The 15,070-nt window shown below is 49.0% G+C and overlaps 1 protein-coding gene across 9 annotated transcripts in view, besides 2 other annotated features; it reads left to right on the top strand.

Moving 5' to 3' along the window:
* ROR2 (receptor tyrosine kinase like orphan receptor 2) overlaps positions 1-3,758 on the top strand; it is a 227,628-nt gene extending 223,870 nt beyond the window's left edge. For all 9 annotated transcript variants that reach the window (NM_004560.4, XM_005252008.5, XM_047423436.1 and 6 more), the window contains one exon: positions 1,252-3,758. In NM_004560.4, coding sequence (NP_004551.2) covers positions 1,252-2,697 — 1,446 coding nt within the window. In that variant the 3' untranslated portion in view covers positions 2,698-3,758. The remainder of the gene's footprint in view (positions 1-1,251) is intronic.
* Positions 6,479-6,648: an enhancer, noted in NCBI's record as "experimental_109450 CRE fragment used in MPRA reporter constructs". NCBI's record gives its function as "activates a minimal promoter by MPRAs in K562 erythroleukemia cells, with activity observed for both the introgressed and non-introgressed 9:94482078 variant alleles {active_cell/tissue: K562}" and the evidence as "EXISTENCE:reporter gene assay evidence [ECO:0000049][PMID:34662402]".
* Positions 11,683-11,732: a silencer, noted in NCBI's record as "silent region_20027". NCBI's record gives its function as "represses an Ori minimal core promoter by ATAC-STARR-seq in GM12878 lymphoblastoid cells {active_cell/tissue: GM12878}" and the evidence as "EXISTENCE:reporter gene assay evidence [ECO:0000049][PMID:35858748]".

The raw sequence follows: 15,070 nt of genomic DNA, 5'->3' as shown, positions 1-15,070 counted from the left end.
TAAATGGCAGGCGTGTTGGGAATTCACTGCCCCAGAGTCCATGGGCCTCCTTCTGCCTGGACCATGCTGCCCCTGTGGGCCCCAGCGAGTGTCCTCACTGTCCAGGTGCCTCAGCTCTGCCCAGAAGACACACAAGAACAACAGGGCTCCAATGCTCCCCATAATTTTTCTTGACACTTTTGGGTTGGGTTGGTTTTGCTTTGTTTTGTTTACAGGGAAGGATAGGAGAATAGCTCTTAAATGGGAGTAGGTGGACAGGCTACCACTAAAAGGCCACCCCTCATCCCAGAGCAGCCTTAGATGGGGGTGGGGCACTGAAATACAACAGATGAGAACATGTGCTGCAGCCTCTCCAGGTTGTGTTGTAAAAGGGCATTTACACTCATTGCAAGCCGTAGGTAACATCATTCTCAGCCAGCTTTGCAGGGGCTCTTCAAGGTGGCCAGGAGGGAGCTGATGCACTTGGCTCTTCAGTCCCAGAGTCGGTGAGAGTTTGCTATGGGCAGGGGCTGGCCAGCGAGGAGGGCACAGAGCCCCGGGGCTTGCACGGAGGCCCAGGAACCTCTGGGGAGGATGAGGGCTGGCCACACGGGAGGAGCTGGTGTCATAGAGGCCGAGAGAGATGCAGGGTTCTCAGGGCTCCTATCACCTGTGGGGTACTCTTTCCAGGAACATGTTTAACAGAGACCCTAGTCAAGAGGCCCATGGACAGGCCCATTGAGGGAACCTCTGTAGAACAACTGGCTTGGACTCTTATAAGTGACAAAATTGCCAAGACAAAAATGTCGTGGGAAAGCCTCTGTGGGGTCCATGAGAAAAAGACATCACATCTCACGTGATGTGTCGGCACACATGGGGGTTGGAGGGAACCTGGCAGGGTATGTCCGGGGCAGCCCCAGGGCAGCTGGTGCCTGGGCCTGGCTGTAGGGTGTGTGTGTGTGTCCACACATGCACAAGTGGGAAGGAAGTCAGTGTGTCCCAGCTGGATTTTGGAGGGACCTTATTTGTAGCCTGGTTGGGATCTGTGGAAGATTGCAGATGGGAAGCAACCTTGGCATCAGAGCCGTATTTAAGGTTAACTAGAGAGCTGTGGGTGGGCAGGCCAAGGCTGGGTGGGCAAAACCAGCGGGTCTTCTGCAAGGCCCCCCTAGTCGTGGCCGCACAGGGACTCCACTCCTCCCGGCTGCTCTGCAGCTTCCTCCAGGGCTGCGGTGACAGTGATGTTTCACGTGGGGCTTTTCTTCTTGACAGGCCAAACTCAAAGAGATCAGCCTGTCTGCGGTGAGGTTCATGGAGGAGCTGGGAGAGGACCGGTTTGGGAAAGTCTACAAAGGTCACCTGTTCGGCCCTGCCCCGGGGGAGCAGACCCAGGCTGTGGCCATCAAAACGCTGAAGGACAAAGCGGAGGGGCCCCTGCGGGAGGAGTTCCGGCATGAGGCTATGCTGCGAGCACGGCTGCAACACCCCAACGTCGTCTGCCTGCTGGGCGTGGTGACCAAGGACCAGCCCCTGAGCATGATCTTCAGCTACTGTTCGCACGGCGACCTCCACGAATTCCTGGTCATGCGCTCGCCGCACTCGGACGTGGGCAGCACCGATGATGACCGCACGGTGAAGTCCGCCCTGGAGCCCCCCGACTTCGTGCACCTTGTGGCACAGATCGCGGCGGGGATGGAGTACCTATCCAGCCACCACGTGGTTCACAAGGACCTGGCCACCCGCAATGTGCTAGTGTACGACAAGCTGAACGTGAAGATCTCAGACTTGGGCCTCTTCCGAGAGGTGTATGCCGCCGATTACTACAAGCTGCTGGGGAACTCGCTGCTGCCTATCCGCTGGATGGCCCCAGAGGCCATCATGTACGGCAAGTTCTCCATCGACTCAGACATCTGGTCCTACGGTGTGGTCCTGTGGGAGGTCTTCAGCTACGGCCTGCAGCCCTACTGCGGGTACTCCAACCAGGATGTGGTGGAGATGATCCGGAACCGGCAGGTGCTGCCTTGCCCCGATGACTGTCCCGCCTGGGTGTATGCCCTCATGATCGAGTGCTGGAACGAGTTCCCCAGCCGGCGGCCCCGCTTCAAGGACATCCACAGCCGGCTCCGAGCCTGGGGCAACCTTTCCAACTACAACAGCTCGGCGCAGACCTCGGGGGCCAGCAACACCACGCAGACCAGCTCCCTGAGCACCAGCCCAGTGAGCAATGTGAGCAACGCCCGCTACGTGGGGCCCAAGCAGAAGGCCCCGCCCTTCCCACAGCCCCAGTTCATCCCCATGAAGGGCCAGATCAGACCCATGGTGCCCCCGCCGCAGCTCTACGTCCCCGTCAACGGCTACCAGCCGGTGCCGGCCTATGGGGCCTACCTGCCCAACTTCTACCCGGTGCAGATCCCAATGCAGATGGCCCCGCAGCAGGTGCCTCCTCAGATGGTCCCCAAGCCCAGCTCACACCACAGTGGCAGTGGCTCCACCAGCACAGGCTACGTCACCACGGCCCCCTCCAACACATCCATGGCAGACAGGGCAGCCCTGCTCTCAGAGGGCGCTGATGACACACAGAACGCCCCAGAAGATGGGGCCCAGAGCACCGTGCAGGAAGCAGAGGAGGAGGAGGAAGGCTCTGTCCCAGAGACTGAGCTGCTGGGGGACTGTGACACTCTGCAGGTGGACGAGGCCCAAGTCCAGCTGGAAGCTTGAGTGGCACCAGGGCCCGGGGTTCGGGGATAGAAGCCCCGCCGAGACCCCACAGGGACCTCAGTCACCTTTGAGAAGACACCATACTCAGCAATCACAAGAGCCCGCCGGCCAGTGGGCTTGTTTGCAGACTGGGTGAGGTGGAGCCCTGCTCCTCTCTGTCCTCTGACACAGAGAGCTGCCCTGCCTAGGAGCACCCAAGCCAGGCAGGGGGTCTGGCAGCACGGCGTCCTGGGGAGCAGGACACATGGTCATCCCCAGGGCTGTATACATTGATTCTGGTGGTAGACTGGTAGTGAGCAGCAAATGCCTTTCAAGAAAATAGGTGGCAGCTTCACTCCATGTCATATATGGAGTGAATATTTCAAAACGTTGGGAATAAGGGCCTGCAAAAGGCAGCGAGGAGGCACCTCGGGTCTTGAGGTTCCTGACAACCGATCTGGTCTGTTGGTTTGAGGATGAAGGGGCTCCATTTCTGCTGCCTCCCTGCTGAGAATATTCTCCCTTTAGCAGCCAAAGATTCGCTGGAACGGAGGCTGCCCTCTGCTGCCTGTTGGGGTCGGAAGACAAGGGGCTTCTGAAATGGGAGTTCCTGAGATACAACAAAATGTGTGCCTTCAAAGAAACTGACAGCTTTGTATTTGGTGAAATGGTTTTAATTATACTCCATGTGTATTTTGCCCACTTTTTTTGGGAATTCAAGGGAAAGTGTTTCTTGGGTTTGGAATGTTCAGAGGAAGCAGTATTGTACAGAACACGGTATTGTTATTTTTGTTAAGAATCATGTACAGAGCTTAAATGTAATTTATATGTTTTTAATATGCCATTTTCATTGAAGTATTTTGGTCTTAAGATGACTTTAGTAATTTAACTGTTTATGTTACCCACGTTGGGATCCAGTTGGTCTTGGTTTGCTTCTCTCTGTACCACGTGCACATGAGGTCCATTCATTTTACAGCCCCTGTTACACACAGACCCACAGGCAGCCGTCTGTGCCCCGCACACATTGTTGGTCCTATTTGTAAATCCCACACCCGGTGTATCCAATAAAGTGAAACAAAGCATGTGATTGGCTCTCTTGCAGGTTGTAAGGATGCGAGGCAGCGGGAGGCAGTGCTGGATGACGGAGACGCCAAACGGTGATGATTTGAGCTGAGCCCTTTCTGTGGGTTTGGGAGGTTTGCCCTGAGCCAGGAGCCCCATGCTAATGGGGATATCCCTTGGCAGATAAATGATGGAACTAGCTCCGTGGCTTCTCTCTGTTAAGGTCTCCAATGCAGGTTAGTTAATTGCAGATGGTGTGAAGATGGTCTTTGGTTTTAATCTCATCCCCTCCTGAGGTCCCAGAGCCCCTGACATTGTTAAACCTGGAGCCTGGCACTTCTGGGGGCCCTGGAGCAGCAGGGCTGAGTTCAAGGGAGGGGGTGAAAGAGAATGGGCCTCCTTCATGGGCTGCCTGCATCCCCTGCTCTATCTGTGGTGCAGTTGGCTAGTCCAAGGTACACCTGGGTCTGAGCACAGCTGTTATAGGGTGACCTGGGGAGCAGTGGCTTCAGAGCTTCCAGTATTAACTGGTGTGGGGAGAGAGTATGCAGAGACTCAGGTGTAGCAAGTCCCCTCACTTGGAGTAGATCATCAAACTGACCATGTCGACCTGAACCTTATCTTGTCATAGGGGAGAAATCTTTTTCTTTTCTTTTTCCTTTTTTTTTTTTTTTTTAAGACAGAGTCTTGCTCTGTTGCCAGGCTGGAATGCAGTGGCATGATCTTAGCTCACTGCAACCTCCACCTCCCGGGTTGAAGTGATTCTCCTGCCTCAGCCTCCCCAGTAGCTGGGACTACTTGCACGTGCCACCACGCCCAGCTAATTTTTGTATTTTTAGTAGAGACGGGGTTTCACTGTGTTAGCCAGGATGGTCTCGATCTCCTGACCTCGTGATCCACCTGCCTCGGCCTCCCAAAGTGCTGGGATTACAGGCGTGAGCCACTGTGGTAACATCTTTTTCTAACCCACTGCAAGGCTCATGGCTGAGGCCCCTGTAACAAAAGACAGCTTAACGAGAAAAGCCTCAAGCAACCCAAAGAAGCAGGGAAGCCTGTGTATTTCCATACTAAGTTTGGTGGAGTGGACAGGCAGGCAGAAGTGTGGTTGGACAAAGGGATGTGACCAATGGCAATAGACCGGGGTGGGGCCGGGTAGGGGCTTGTTTGCAGGCTTGTTTGTTCAGATTCTTTTCTTTGTCCCTGTATCTTCAGAGATAAGGAGCTTCCCTTCCTCTGGGTAGAGGGAGGGCACCTCTGGAATGAGGGTTTTATGGCCTGTCTGGGAGGAGAAGGGCGGGAGAAGGTCAGAGAGACCTTCCTGATTCTGTGGCTTCCTCAAATGCCAGGTGCCACGTTTTGGGGGATCATGTCCTGACCCCATCACTGTCCTCCCCTGGTTTGCGCATAGCGCTGCTCACAGAAGATTCACCCACACACAAATAAACACAGAGTTCTAATGTGCATCCTAAAAAGTCAGGATGGACCCTCCCTTCTCAGCAGAAGGAAGAAATGTGATTAGACTAAGGATTCAGAGCACCTCTCCCGGCCAGTGCGGTCTGGATTGAATAGTAAAAAAGCTCGCGGTGAAATGGAGTTACTTCTCATTTCCACTGAGCTGAAAGAGGAACTTACTTTTATCTCGAATTTGGTACACCTGATGGCTTAACTGTTCTATTGAGACCTGAGAGTGAAAAATGGGAAATAACCCCCCTGTGGCTGCTTTCTCCACAAGCAGTTGACCATCACCCTGCCCTGCCAGAATTAACCCCCAGGCAACTGACAGTGCCGCAGAACTACAGCTGCAGAGATTCTGCTGAAAAACGTTCGGAGGTTTATTTTTACAGAGTGGGGGAGATTTTGGTTTGGGGATTTTGAACATCTCTGTGTGTTACCATCATTTTAATTGTAAAATCTTGATGCATCATAAGATTACTGAGTGTTTAAAGTTCCTGCAGTTGAATAATAGCGACTTGGTTGGGATGTTCCAGAACAATTGATTCTAGAGCTGAGATGCATGATTCAGATACTAGTAACGTGCCTGTCCTTGTTCATACCCACACAACAGGGAAGTTTTCACAGCTATTAAGTCACTTAAACATGATTTTTAATCCAGCCATATGAACTCACAAATGCCTTTGCACTCCTTATATTTTTTGATCATCATTGTTGCAACAGTCTGTCAGAGCACTGGATACATTTTTCTCTACTGATGTAGGGTGCGTGACTACTCCAGTATATAAGAGCTTCCAACTGACTCAGGAAAATCCCTTGGTTCTCCCAACATGGAAACACTGTTTAAAAACTCAATTCAGGTTTAGTTTGACCTCACAATTGCACACTGATCACTATTTTTGGACAGTTTGTGATCTGATGTTTAAAATAAATCTTGCACAGGCATTGGTTTTATGTGTTTCCTACGGGAATATCTAAAATCCTTTTTGAGATGAACTTTGAAAAGGGGGTTGTGTCAAAGTCAGTGTGCTTCAAAGTGAGATCTCTGACCCTCTCCTCGCCACAGTCAGTCCACACGAACTTCCCAAGATCAATTCTCCTCCCACCCCACACACTTTCCTCCCTCATCATTCCCCAAAGTAGTAGAGATTGCAAGTATTTCTTGGCCTGGCTCTTAGTGGGTGCCCAATAATTGGCTCTTGAAATAAAAGAGTAATGCTCTATTTAGGGAGAGAAGGCCTGGGTGTAGGTTTACCTGATACCAGCTGCAAAGAAGGACATAGCCTCGTTGTCTTTACAGTGTCGCGTTCCTTTTTCATTTAACTTATTAATTATTGAGTAGCTGATGTAGTCCCATAGTTTAAAGATACCAAGGGAAGTTCCATCCCTCATTTGCCCAGATTTCCCTCCACCCTCCCCCTACAAGTAACTGCTGTTAACTGTTTCTGAGGGATCTTCCCAGAGTTCCTTTATACATACGTAAGTCAATATACACGTATGTTCTTCTAGTTCTTCCTTTGACTTTTTTACACAAGTGGTAACTTTCTCTACAACTTGTTTTCTGCCTTGCTCTTTTCACTGGACAGTGTGTTTTGGTGACCTCAGCTTGTTAGTGGTAGGGAGCTCTGGTTCATTAGTATTCTGTGCTAGGGGTGGAGGGAACTTGGTTGAACCCATTGCTCACTGCCGCTGCGGAGTCTGCAAGTGTGACTGCTGGAGACATCCCCAGAGTGGCTTTGCTGGGGAATGAGCTGCCAATCATCAGTGCCACAGTGCCCTCCGTGGGGCTCGGCCAGTGCACCCAGCCACCAAGACACCTGAGAGTGCTGGCTCCCCCAGCCCTGGAATGCTGTTCACATCTCTGCCCAGGGCAGCTGCCCATGAAGGGCCTGGGGACACATAGCTCAACTCTCATGCAGGCTTTTAGAAAGACAGGGCAAGTTGGCATCTTAAGCTCATTGTTTTTTACACTAATTTGTCCTGTTCATGCTCCTTCTCAGTCAGCTTTTCAGTGAAAATGTTGCCCAGAGGCAGAGAGGTGTATCAAACCATCCACTGGGCATTGGAAGGCCCTTGGGCATCTGCAAGTACCCAGGGGAGGCACCAGAAGAAAGTGACTATATCTCTGGAACTTCAGAAGCCAACTGTCACACCCCTCTAGGATGGCAGCTACAAGCCGCGCCCCACACCCAGGATGGCAGCTACAGCACCCCACAGGATGGCAACTTTAACCCCTCCCAGGCAGCTACAACCCCCCCCCCCCGCCAGAATGGCAGCTACAACCTCCCCAAGATGGCAGCTACAACCTCCCCAGGATGGCAGCTATAACCTCTCCCAGGATGGCAGCTACAACTTCTCCCAGGATGGCAGCTACAACCCTCCCAGGATGGCAGCTATAAACCACCCCCAGGATGGCAGCTACCACCGCCCCCAAGATGGCAGCAACAATCCCCCCAAAATGGCAGCTACAACCTCCTCGCCCAGGATGGCAGCTACAACCACCTCGAGGATGGCAGCTACAAGTCCCCTGGTAGGGCAGCTACAACTTCCACAGGACAGCAGCTACAACCCCCCCCCCCCGCCCCAGGATGGCAGCTACAACTCCCCCAGGATGGCAGCTGTAACCCCCCAGGATGGTAGCTACAACCCCCACCAGGATGGCAACTACAACTTCCCCCCCAGGGTGGCAGCTATAACTCCCCCAGGATGGCAGCTACTTCCCCTCCCAGGATGGCAGCTACAACCCCCGCAGGACGGCAGCAACAACCTCCGCCCACAGGGCAACTATCACTCCCCCCAAGATGTCCCAGCCCTGCCCTTTCATTGCTGCAGTCCACCAGGGGCTAACTCCAGATGGACTGGGGTGCCTACGTGAACGATACTTGATGAGTCAAAGTGGAGGCGGTGTCTGGGAAGGGAGAGGGGTCCAGACAGGTGGAGGGAATCCAGGAGGCAGGGAGGCAGTGGCTTCTCCAGCTCCTCCTGCCCATTGGTGCCAGCTCTGTGTTCTCTCCATGGCACTGCCTGCTCCTGTACGGTATCTGACAAGGCCGCCTTTCCATCCTTATTGCCTTATCCGCACAAGCATTTTTCTACATTCCACTAGCTGTCTAATATGGCTTTTCTTTTCCTAGTTTTGAAAAATCATCTTTTTGTCTCTCTTTTTTTTTTTTTTTAACTGCATTTTGATTGTCTCCTCACCACGGTGGTGTCTTTACAGGAAAACTGCACTAAAGCCACCTGTTTTGGGGGAAAGCCAGTGTAAACTAATAAGAATGTGGAACCATAGCATTTTGTTCAGAAAATTCACCATTACTTTCAGATACACAAAATAATTCAAATTAGGCTACAGGAGCCAAAGACTAACATGCGGATTGCCTGGAATATTATTAGTGTTCCCGAAGCATCCTCCTGCTTCTATTATTTCTATTCTCAACTTGCTTGGCAAAGCTTTTCCCATAAATAATGCAAAGGGATACTGCAGCCACAGCACGGAACTAACACGGGCCAGTGTCAGATGGACCGACAGGGTGGGAACAGATGGGTGCACGGACCTGCGGTGCTCTTGAAATCTGGCTGTTGCCTCGTTTGACTTTTCTTATGTGCTGCGACCTCACACTTCTTACCCTGGGAGACCCACAACATTTTTTAGCAATGAGTTCCAGGCCCCACGGCAGGCTCTTCTGGTCCCTTCAGGTAGAAATCTTGGGGCTCAGTTAGTGTCCCCTGGTTGTGTTACAGAAGACTGAGTCCCCACTTCATATTTTAACAGCTTTGTTGTGGCATAATGTGTCTGGAGTTGGTTCCTGCCGGTGGGTTCGTGGTCTCGCTGACTTCAAGGATGAAGCCACCGACTTTCGCGGTGAGTTTTTCCAGCTCTTAAAGATGGTACGGGCCCAGACAGTGAGAAGCGGCAAGGTTTATTGTGAACAACGAAAGAACAAAGCTTCCATAGTGTGGAAGGGGACCCGAGCGGTTGCCGCTGCTGGCTAGGAGATGGCCAGCTTTTATTCCCATATTTGCCCCCCTCTCATGTTCCCTTTCTGTCCTATCAGAGTGCCTTTTTTTCAGTCTTCTGCACGATTGGCTACTTTTAGAATCCTGCTGATTGGTGCATTTTACAGAGCAGTGATTGGTGCATTTTACAGAGCGCTGATTGGTGTGTTTTACAGAGTGCTGATTGGTGCATTTTACAATCTTCTTGCTAGCTAGAGCACTGATTGGTGCGTTTTTACAGAGTGCTGATTGGTGCATCATTTTACAATCCCCTTGCTAGGTACAGAGCACTGATTGGTGCATTTTTACAGAGCGCTGATTGGTGCATGTTACAATTCTCTTGTAAGAAAAGTTCTCCAAGTCTCCACTCAACTCAAGTCCAGCTGGCTTCGCCTCTCAATAATTTACTTGCGTAAAATTCACTCATTCTAGGTGTCAATTCAGTGATTTTTTAGTCCATTTGCAGAGTGTGCAGCCTTCTCCCCAGTCTAATTTCAGAGCATTTCCATTATCCTGCAAGGGTCCCTCATGCTTGTCAGCCCCAGGCAACCTGTTCTGCTTCCTGTCTCTATGGATTTGCCTTTTCTGGACATTTCATATTAATGGAACCATAGAATATGTAGTATTTGCCTCTGGCTTCTTTCACTGAGCAGAAAGTTTTCAAGTTTCATCCATGGTGTACAGAGCGAGACTCCATCTCAAAAAAAAAAGTCCTTTTTTTTTGCTGCATAGTATTCCATTGTAAAGATATACCACACTGTTCATCCATTCATCCATCCATGGACATTTGAATTTTTCTAGTTTGGGGCTATTGTGAATAATGTTACTGTGAACATTTGCATACATTCATGTGTGGACATATGTTTTCACTTCTCTTGGGTCGATTCCTAGGAGTGAAATCACTGAGTCGTATAGTAAATCGTTGATTTTTGTTTTTGAAACAGGGTCTCACTCTCTCACCCAGGCTGGAGTGCAGTGGTGCAAACACAGCTCTCTGTACCCTCAATCTCCTGTGCTCAAGGGATCTTCCTGCTTCAGCCTCCTGAGTAGCTGGCACTACGGGCCCATGCCACCATGCCTGGCTAATTTTTTTTTTTTTTTTTTTTTTGTGGAGATGGGATTTCACCATGTTGCCCAGGCTCATCTCAAATTGCTAAGCTCAAGGAATTCTCCCACCTCTGCCTCCCAAAGTGCTGGGATTACAGGCATGGGCCACCACACCCGGCATTTGTTATCTTTTTAAGAAACTTCCAAACTATTTTCCATAGTGGCTGCACCATTTCACCTTCCCACCAGCAATGAATGAGGCCTCCAGTTTCTTCACATCCTCACCAGCACTGGTTATTATCTGCCTTATGTACTGTATATATAGCCATCTCAGTGGGTGTGGAATGAGAGCCATGTACTTTTAAGAATATCTGAGGAAAACATTACTTAGATGAAAGGATTGCAGTCACAGAGAAAGTTCTATGAATAGTTTATGAATTCTCATCAAATGCCCTTCATTTATTTATTTGTCCACACAGCCATTCAACAAATGCTTCTTGGGCACAGGCTGGGTTCAGTGGTGAACAAGCTGGGGAACACCATCCCTACTCTCTGGAGGCAGGTTATTAAACAGGAAATACTGTAAAAAACAAAACAAAACAAAACAAAAAACAAAAACAAAAAACAGAATAGGTCTTCCTGAGAAAGCAGTATTTGCTGAGTGATGCCTCAGCCAGAGCGCAGCTGTGGCAGCTGATGAGGCCCACGCTCATAGCATTAGATAAAGGGCGAAAGCCTGCCGCCTCCATCGTGGGCACACCAGGACATCTGGTACCTGCGTTCCTCTGCAGCTTGTGATTCCCAGTGGCTGCACTCTTTCTTTGGAGGCAGAGCTCTTCCTTCACCTGAAGACTCTATCTTTCCTCAGTCGCAGAGCCCAAGACCCCCACGGTTCTGCCAAGACCCTCATAGTTCTGCCTGGGAACTTGGGTTGGGAAAAAAAAAATCACTAACCTACATTTCATTCAGAACTGCGATGTAGCATTTCCCTTATTATACACATAGGGAAAAAACCCAGAGACGTATTGCTATTATGGGTGGCTGGTCGCCACTAAACACTGGTTATTTTCATGTCACTTTGCAGTTGTGGCCGATACTAGAAATTCTATTTCGCTCATCACTGCTTGACAATAACACACATTATTGGGCCCGCTGCAAAATCTTGTTATTGAGTTAATACAGAAGCACACAAATGATAACACATCCCAATGTTATTTTTTAAATATTTTGATAATTTTAATATTAGATGTTATCTTTGAAGTTTGTGTTTTATTTTTTGTGTTATGAAATTATACCCTGAGAAGAGACCCAAGTCCAAATGGGTCCAAGGTGCAGAAAAGGTTAGGGGCCCTGGAATGACCTGTCTTCCTCTGGGACCACTCCCCCGCATGCTGGAACCCCCGGGCGGGCGCGGGTCCTTAGCTCAGGTCCTCCCTTCATACGCTCGCTACGGCTCCGCCTCCTCCTGGCCTCGGGCGTGCTCCAGACCTCCCCGCAGGCGCCTCCCCGCCCACCCCTGGCTCCTCGCCCTACCCAGTTGGGTCCGGCGAGAGGGAGGGGTCCGGCGAGAGGGAGGGGTCCGGCGAGAGGGAGGGGTCCGGCGAGAGGGAGGGGTCCGGCGAGAGGGAGGGAGGTCTCTCTATCGACCTACAGTTCTCATTCTGTTTTGCCAAGTGTACGCCAAGAAGGACATGGCGCCGCGTAAAAGCAGGAACGACGTCTCCTGGGCTGAACAGGAGCACAAACTGTTCTGAAAGGGTTTTTTTTTTTTTTTTTTTCGGAGTAAATGTTGATTCGCTGCTGTTCTTGCTTGGGAGCTGGTGCCTGTCTGCTGTGCTCGCGGGCTCTGAATTTTTAATTTTAAAATTAAAAATATTTAAATTTTAATTTAACTTTAAAATTGAAGTTTAATTTTTTAAAAAATATTTTTTAATTTCAAAAATTTAATTTTTTTATAATTTCAGGTAAATTTTCTTCAAGTTTTAATAACGCAGTAAGAGTAAACTTCTAGTTACCTAAAATAGTTTTCAATGTGAACTTCATTCGCTTAACATAAATGTTACGTTTCTCTCCTACAAAATACAATTGACCATGTTCACAAGGGTTCTCTTTCTTTTTTCCCTAAAAGTAATTTTAGTTCACAGCCAGAAAAAGGTCCTTCAGTTTAAGAAGGGGGGGGGGGGGTAGCATAAATACCAGTCCCTGGACAAATGTGTGTGTCGAGGTACGTGAAAGCCACAGATGGAGAAAGTCAGTCCCCACCTGCGAAGGTGGCATCGTGGGAGGTGAGGTCCCTAAGGCAGGGTTTCTCCCTCTTGTGTTCACTGCTGGTCCCCAGCACAGAGAGGCGCTCCATAAATAATTGTTCCCACACACAGATACACACTCATATACACATATACTATACACACACCACGTTCCATACACACTACACATATTCATATATAAGAGCTGCTCTCTGCTGGCACGGAGGTCCATGGACGGGGTGGGAGGAGACTCACGTGTTGTGGGGGCTCCCTCTCTAAGGCAAGTGGTCCCATAAAAGCGAGCAACGCTTTTCTTTTTTAATTTCAGGTAAATTTTCTTCGAGTTTTAGTTATTATGCAGTAAGAGTAAACTTCTAGTTACCTAAAATAGTTTTCAATGTGAACTTCATTAGTTTAACATAACTGTTACATTTCTTTCCTACAAGATACAATTGACCATGTTTACAAGGGAAAGTGATCTGGTAAAAGCTGGCTTTATTATGTGGGTTCTATAAATATGCAAACTCATTGCACATGTAGTGTTCCCTTTTAACAAATTGTATTAACTTGATTATCCCTTCGGGATTTTTTTTTTTTTTTTTTGCTGAAATAACCTAGTCTATATAAAAACCCAATCTCTTCCTTGTATGTGCAAGAAAACTAAAGTGCTTATTAGGAAAGCTGCGTGTTTAATATACTGTGGCCAACACGATTATTTGGAACAGCATTTTTTGGTTAAATTGTGGGTGAAATGCTCTATCCCAAATGCAGACATGCGGTATTAGAGACTAGACCACAGAAATCCCGATGGTCAAACTGATCCGATGTGAGATTATTAGATTAACCTGGACCACAGATGGAGATCTCAGTCTGCTGGAGGCCTGGTGCTATTCTGGGCACAGGGATGGGGCAGAGAACCAAACAGACACATGAAGGGAAGGGAAGTACATTCTACAGGGTTGGGAAGCTCAGTTCCCTGAGGAAAACGCAGCTGGTGAGGGGGATTCCTTGGCCTGAGTGGGTAGTTTAAAGAGTCTGGTCGGAAAGCCTTTCCACTAGTCATCAACTGTGCCTCTAAAAATCACTGTAACTAAGAATCATCTAAAAAGGTGTCTGCACCTGAACCCGGTGATGGCTTCTTCATCCTCTTTAACTGCAAACAAAAATGTGCAGGCTACAGCAGCACAGGCAGCTTATTTGCCAAGAGAGTGTAACATAAAACTGAGAAAGTCACTCTCATTATTTAAAAAAAAAATGCATCTCTGAAAACTGTAACTTCCCAGTTAGTGAAGTTAGGATCTCAGGATCATAGAAAGCGGGAAAAATGACTGGTGGTGAGTCATTTGGATTTGTATGGGAGACAAGAAGCCACTCTTAATCCACATGATTAGCCACACCGGAACCCTTAATTGTCCTTCAAGCAGAAATGAAGGAACTGGGAGAAATGCCACTAGAAAATGAATTCTAATTAATTCATTCATCCAGATCCTTCTCTCTTTTCCCTAAAAATAATTCTAGTCACAGCCAGAAAAAAGGGCAGGAAAGCAGTTTAAAGTGGGGGGTGTAAATACCAATCGGTGGAGAAACCTGCGTGTTGAGGCATTCTCAGAGTGAAAGCCACAAATGGAGGAAGTTGGTCCCCAACTGCGAATGGCATCATGGGAGGTGACGTCCCCAGAGCAGGGTTTCCCCCTCTCTTGTGTTCACTGCTGGTGAAGAGCGTAGGTGCTCCATAAATAATTGTCCCCACACACATACACAGATACTCATACACATACACCACACACACAATTTCACACACACCACACATACCACACACACACCCATACACATACACCACACACACACCCCACACACATTCCACACATACCCATACACATACACACCACACACATTCCACACAGACACCACACATACCACACACACACCCATACACATACACCACACACACAACCCACACATATTCCACACATACCCATACACATACACACCACACATACACATACACCACACACACCCACACCCACACACACGTTCCACACACACCACACACACTCATACACACACACCACACATACACCACACACACCACACACTCATACACACTGCACACACCCACACCCCCACACACATTCCACACACACCACACACACTTACACACCACACACACCTTCAGCACCATACAGACTCATACACACATACACCACACACAGACACGTATTCTGCAAACACCACACACATTCACACACACACCATATACACATTCACATGCACACTTATACACACACACCACACACACCACACACATCTTGCACACACCACACACATACACACCACATCAACCCACACCACACACACACTACACACACACACCTCATATACCAGAGACACATACATAACATATACACACCACACATTTCACACATACCATACACACCGCTCACATATCACACACGCCACATACACATCACAGATAACACACACACCTTGCACACCTCGCACACAAATTACACACACACACCACACATACAGCACACACATGTGCACACACACAAACACTCCAGAAACACCACACATCACATACACAACTC

The sequence above is a fragment of the Homo sapiens genome, chromosome 9, assembly GCF_000001405.40.
Source record: "Homo sapiens chromosome 9, GRCh38.p14 Primary Assembly".
Lineage (NCBI taxonomy): Eukaryota > Metazoa > Chordata > Mammalia > Primates > Hominidae > Homo > Homo sapiens.
The sequence above is the reverse complement of the archived record's forward strand: the minus strand, read 5'-3'. Positions and strand labels throughout refer to the sequence as shown.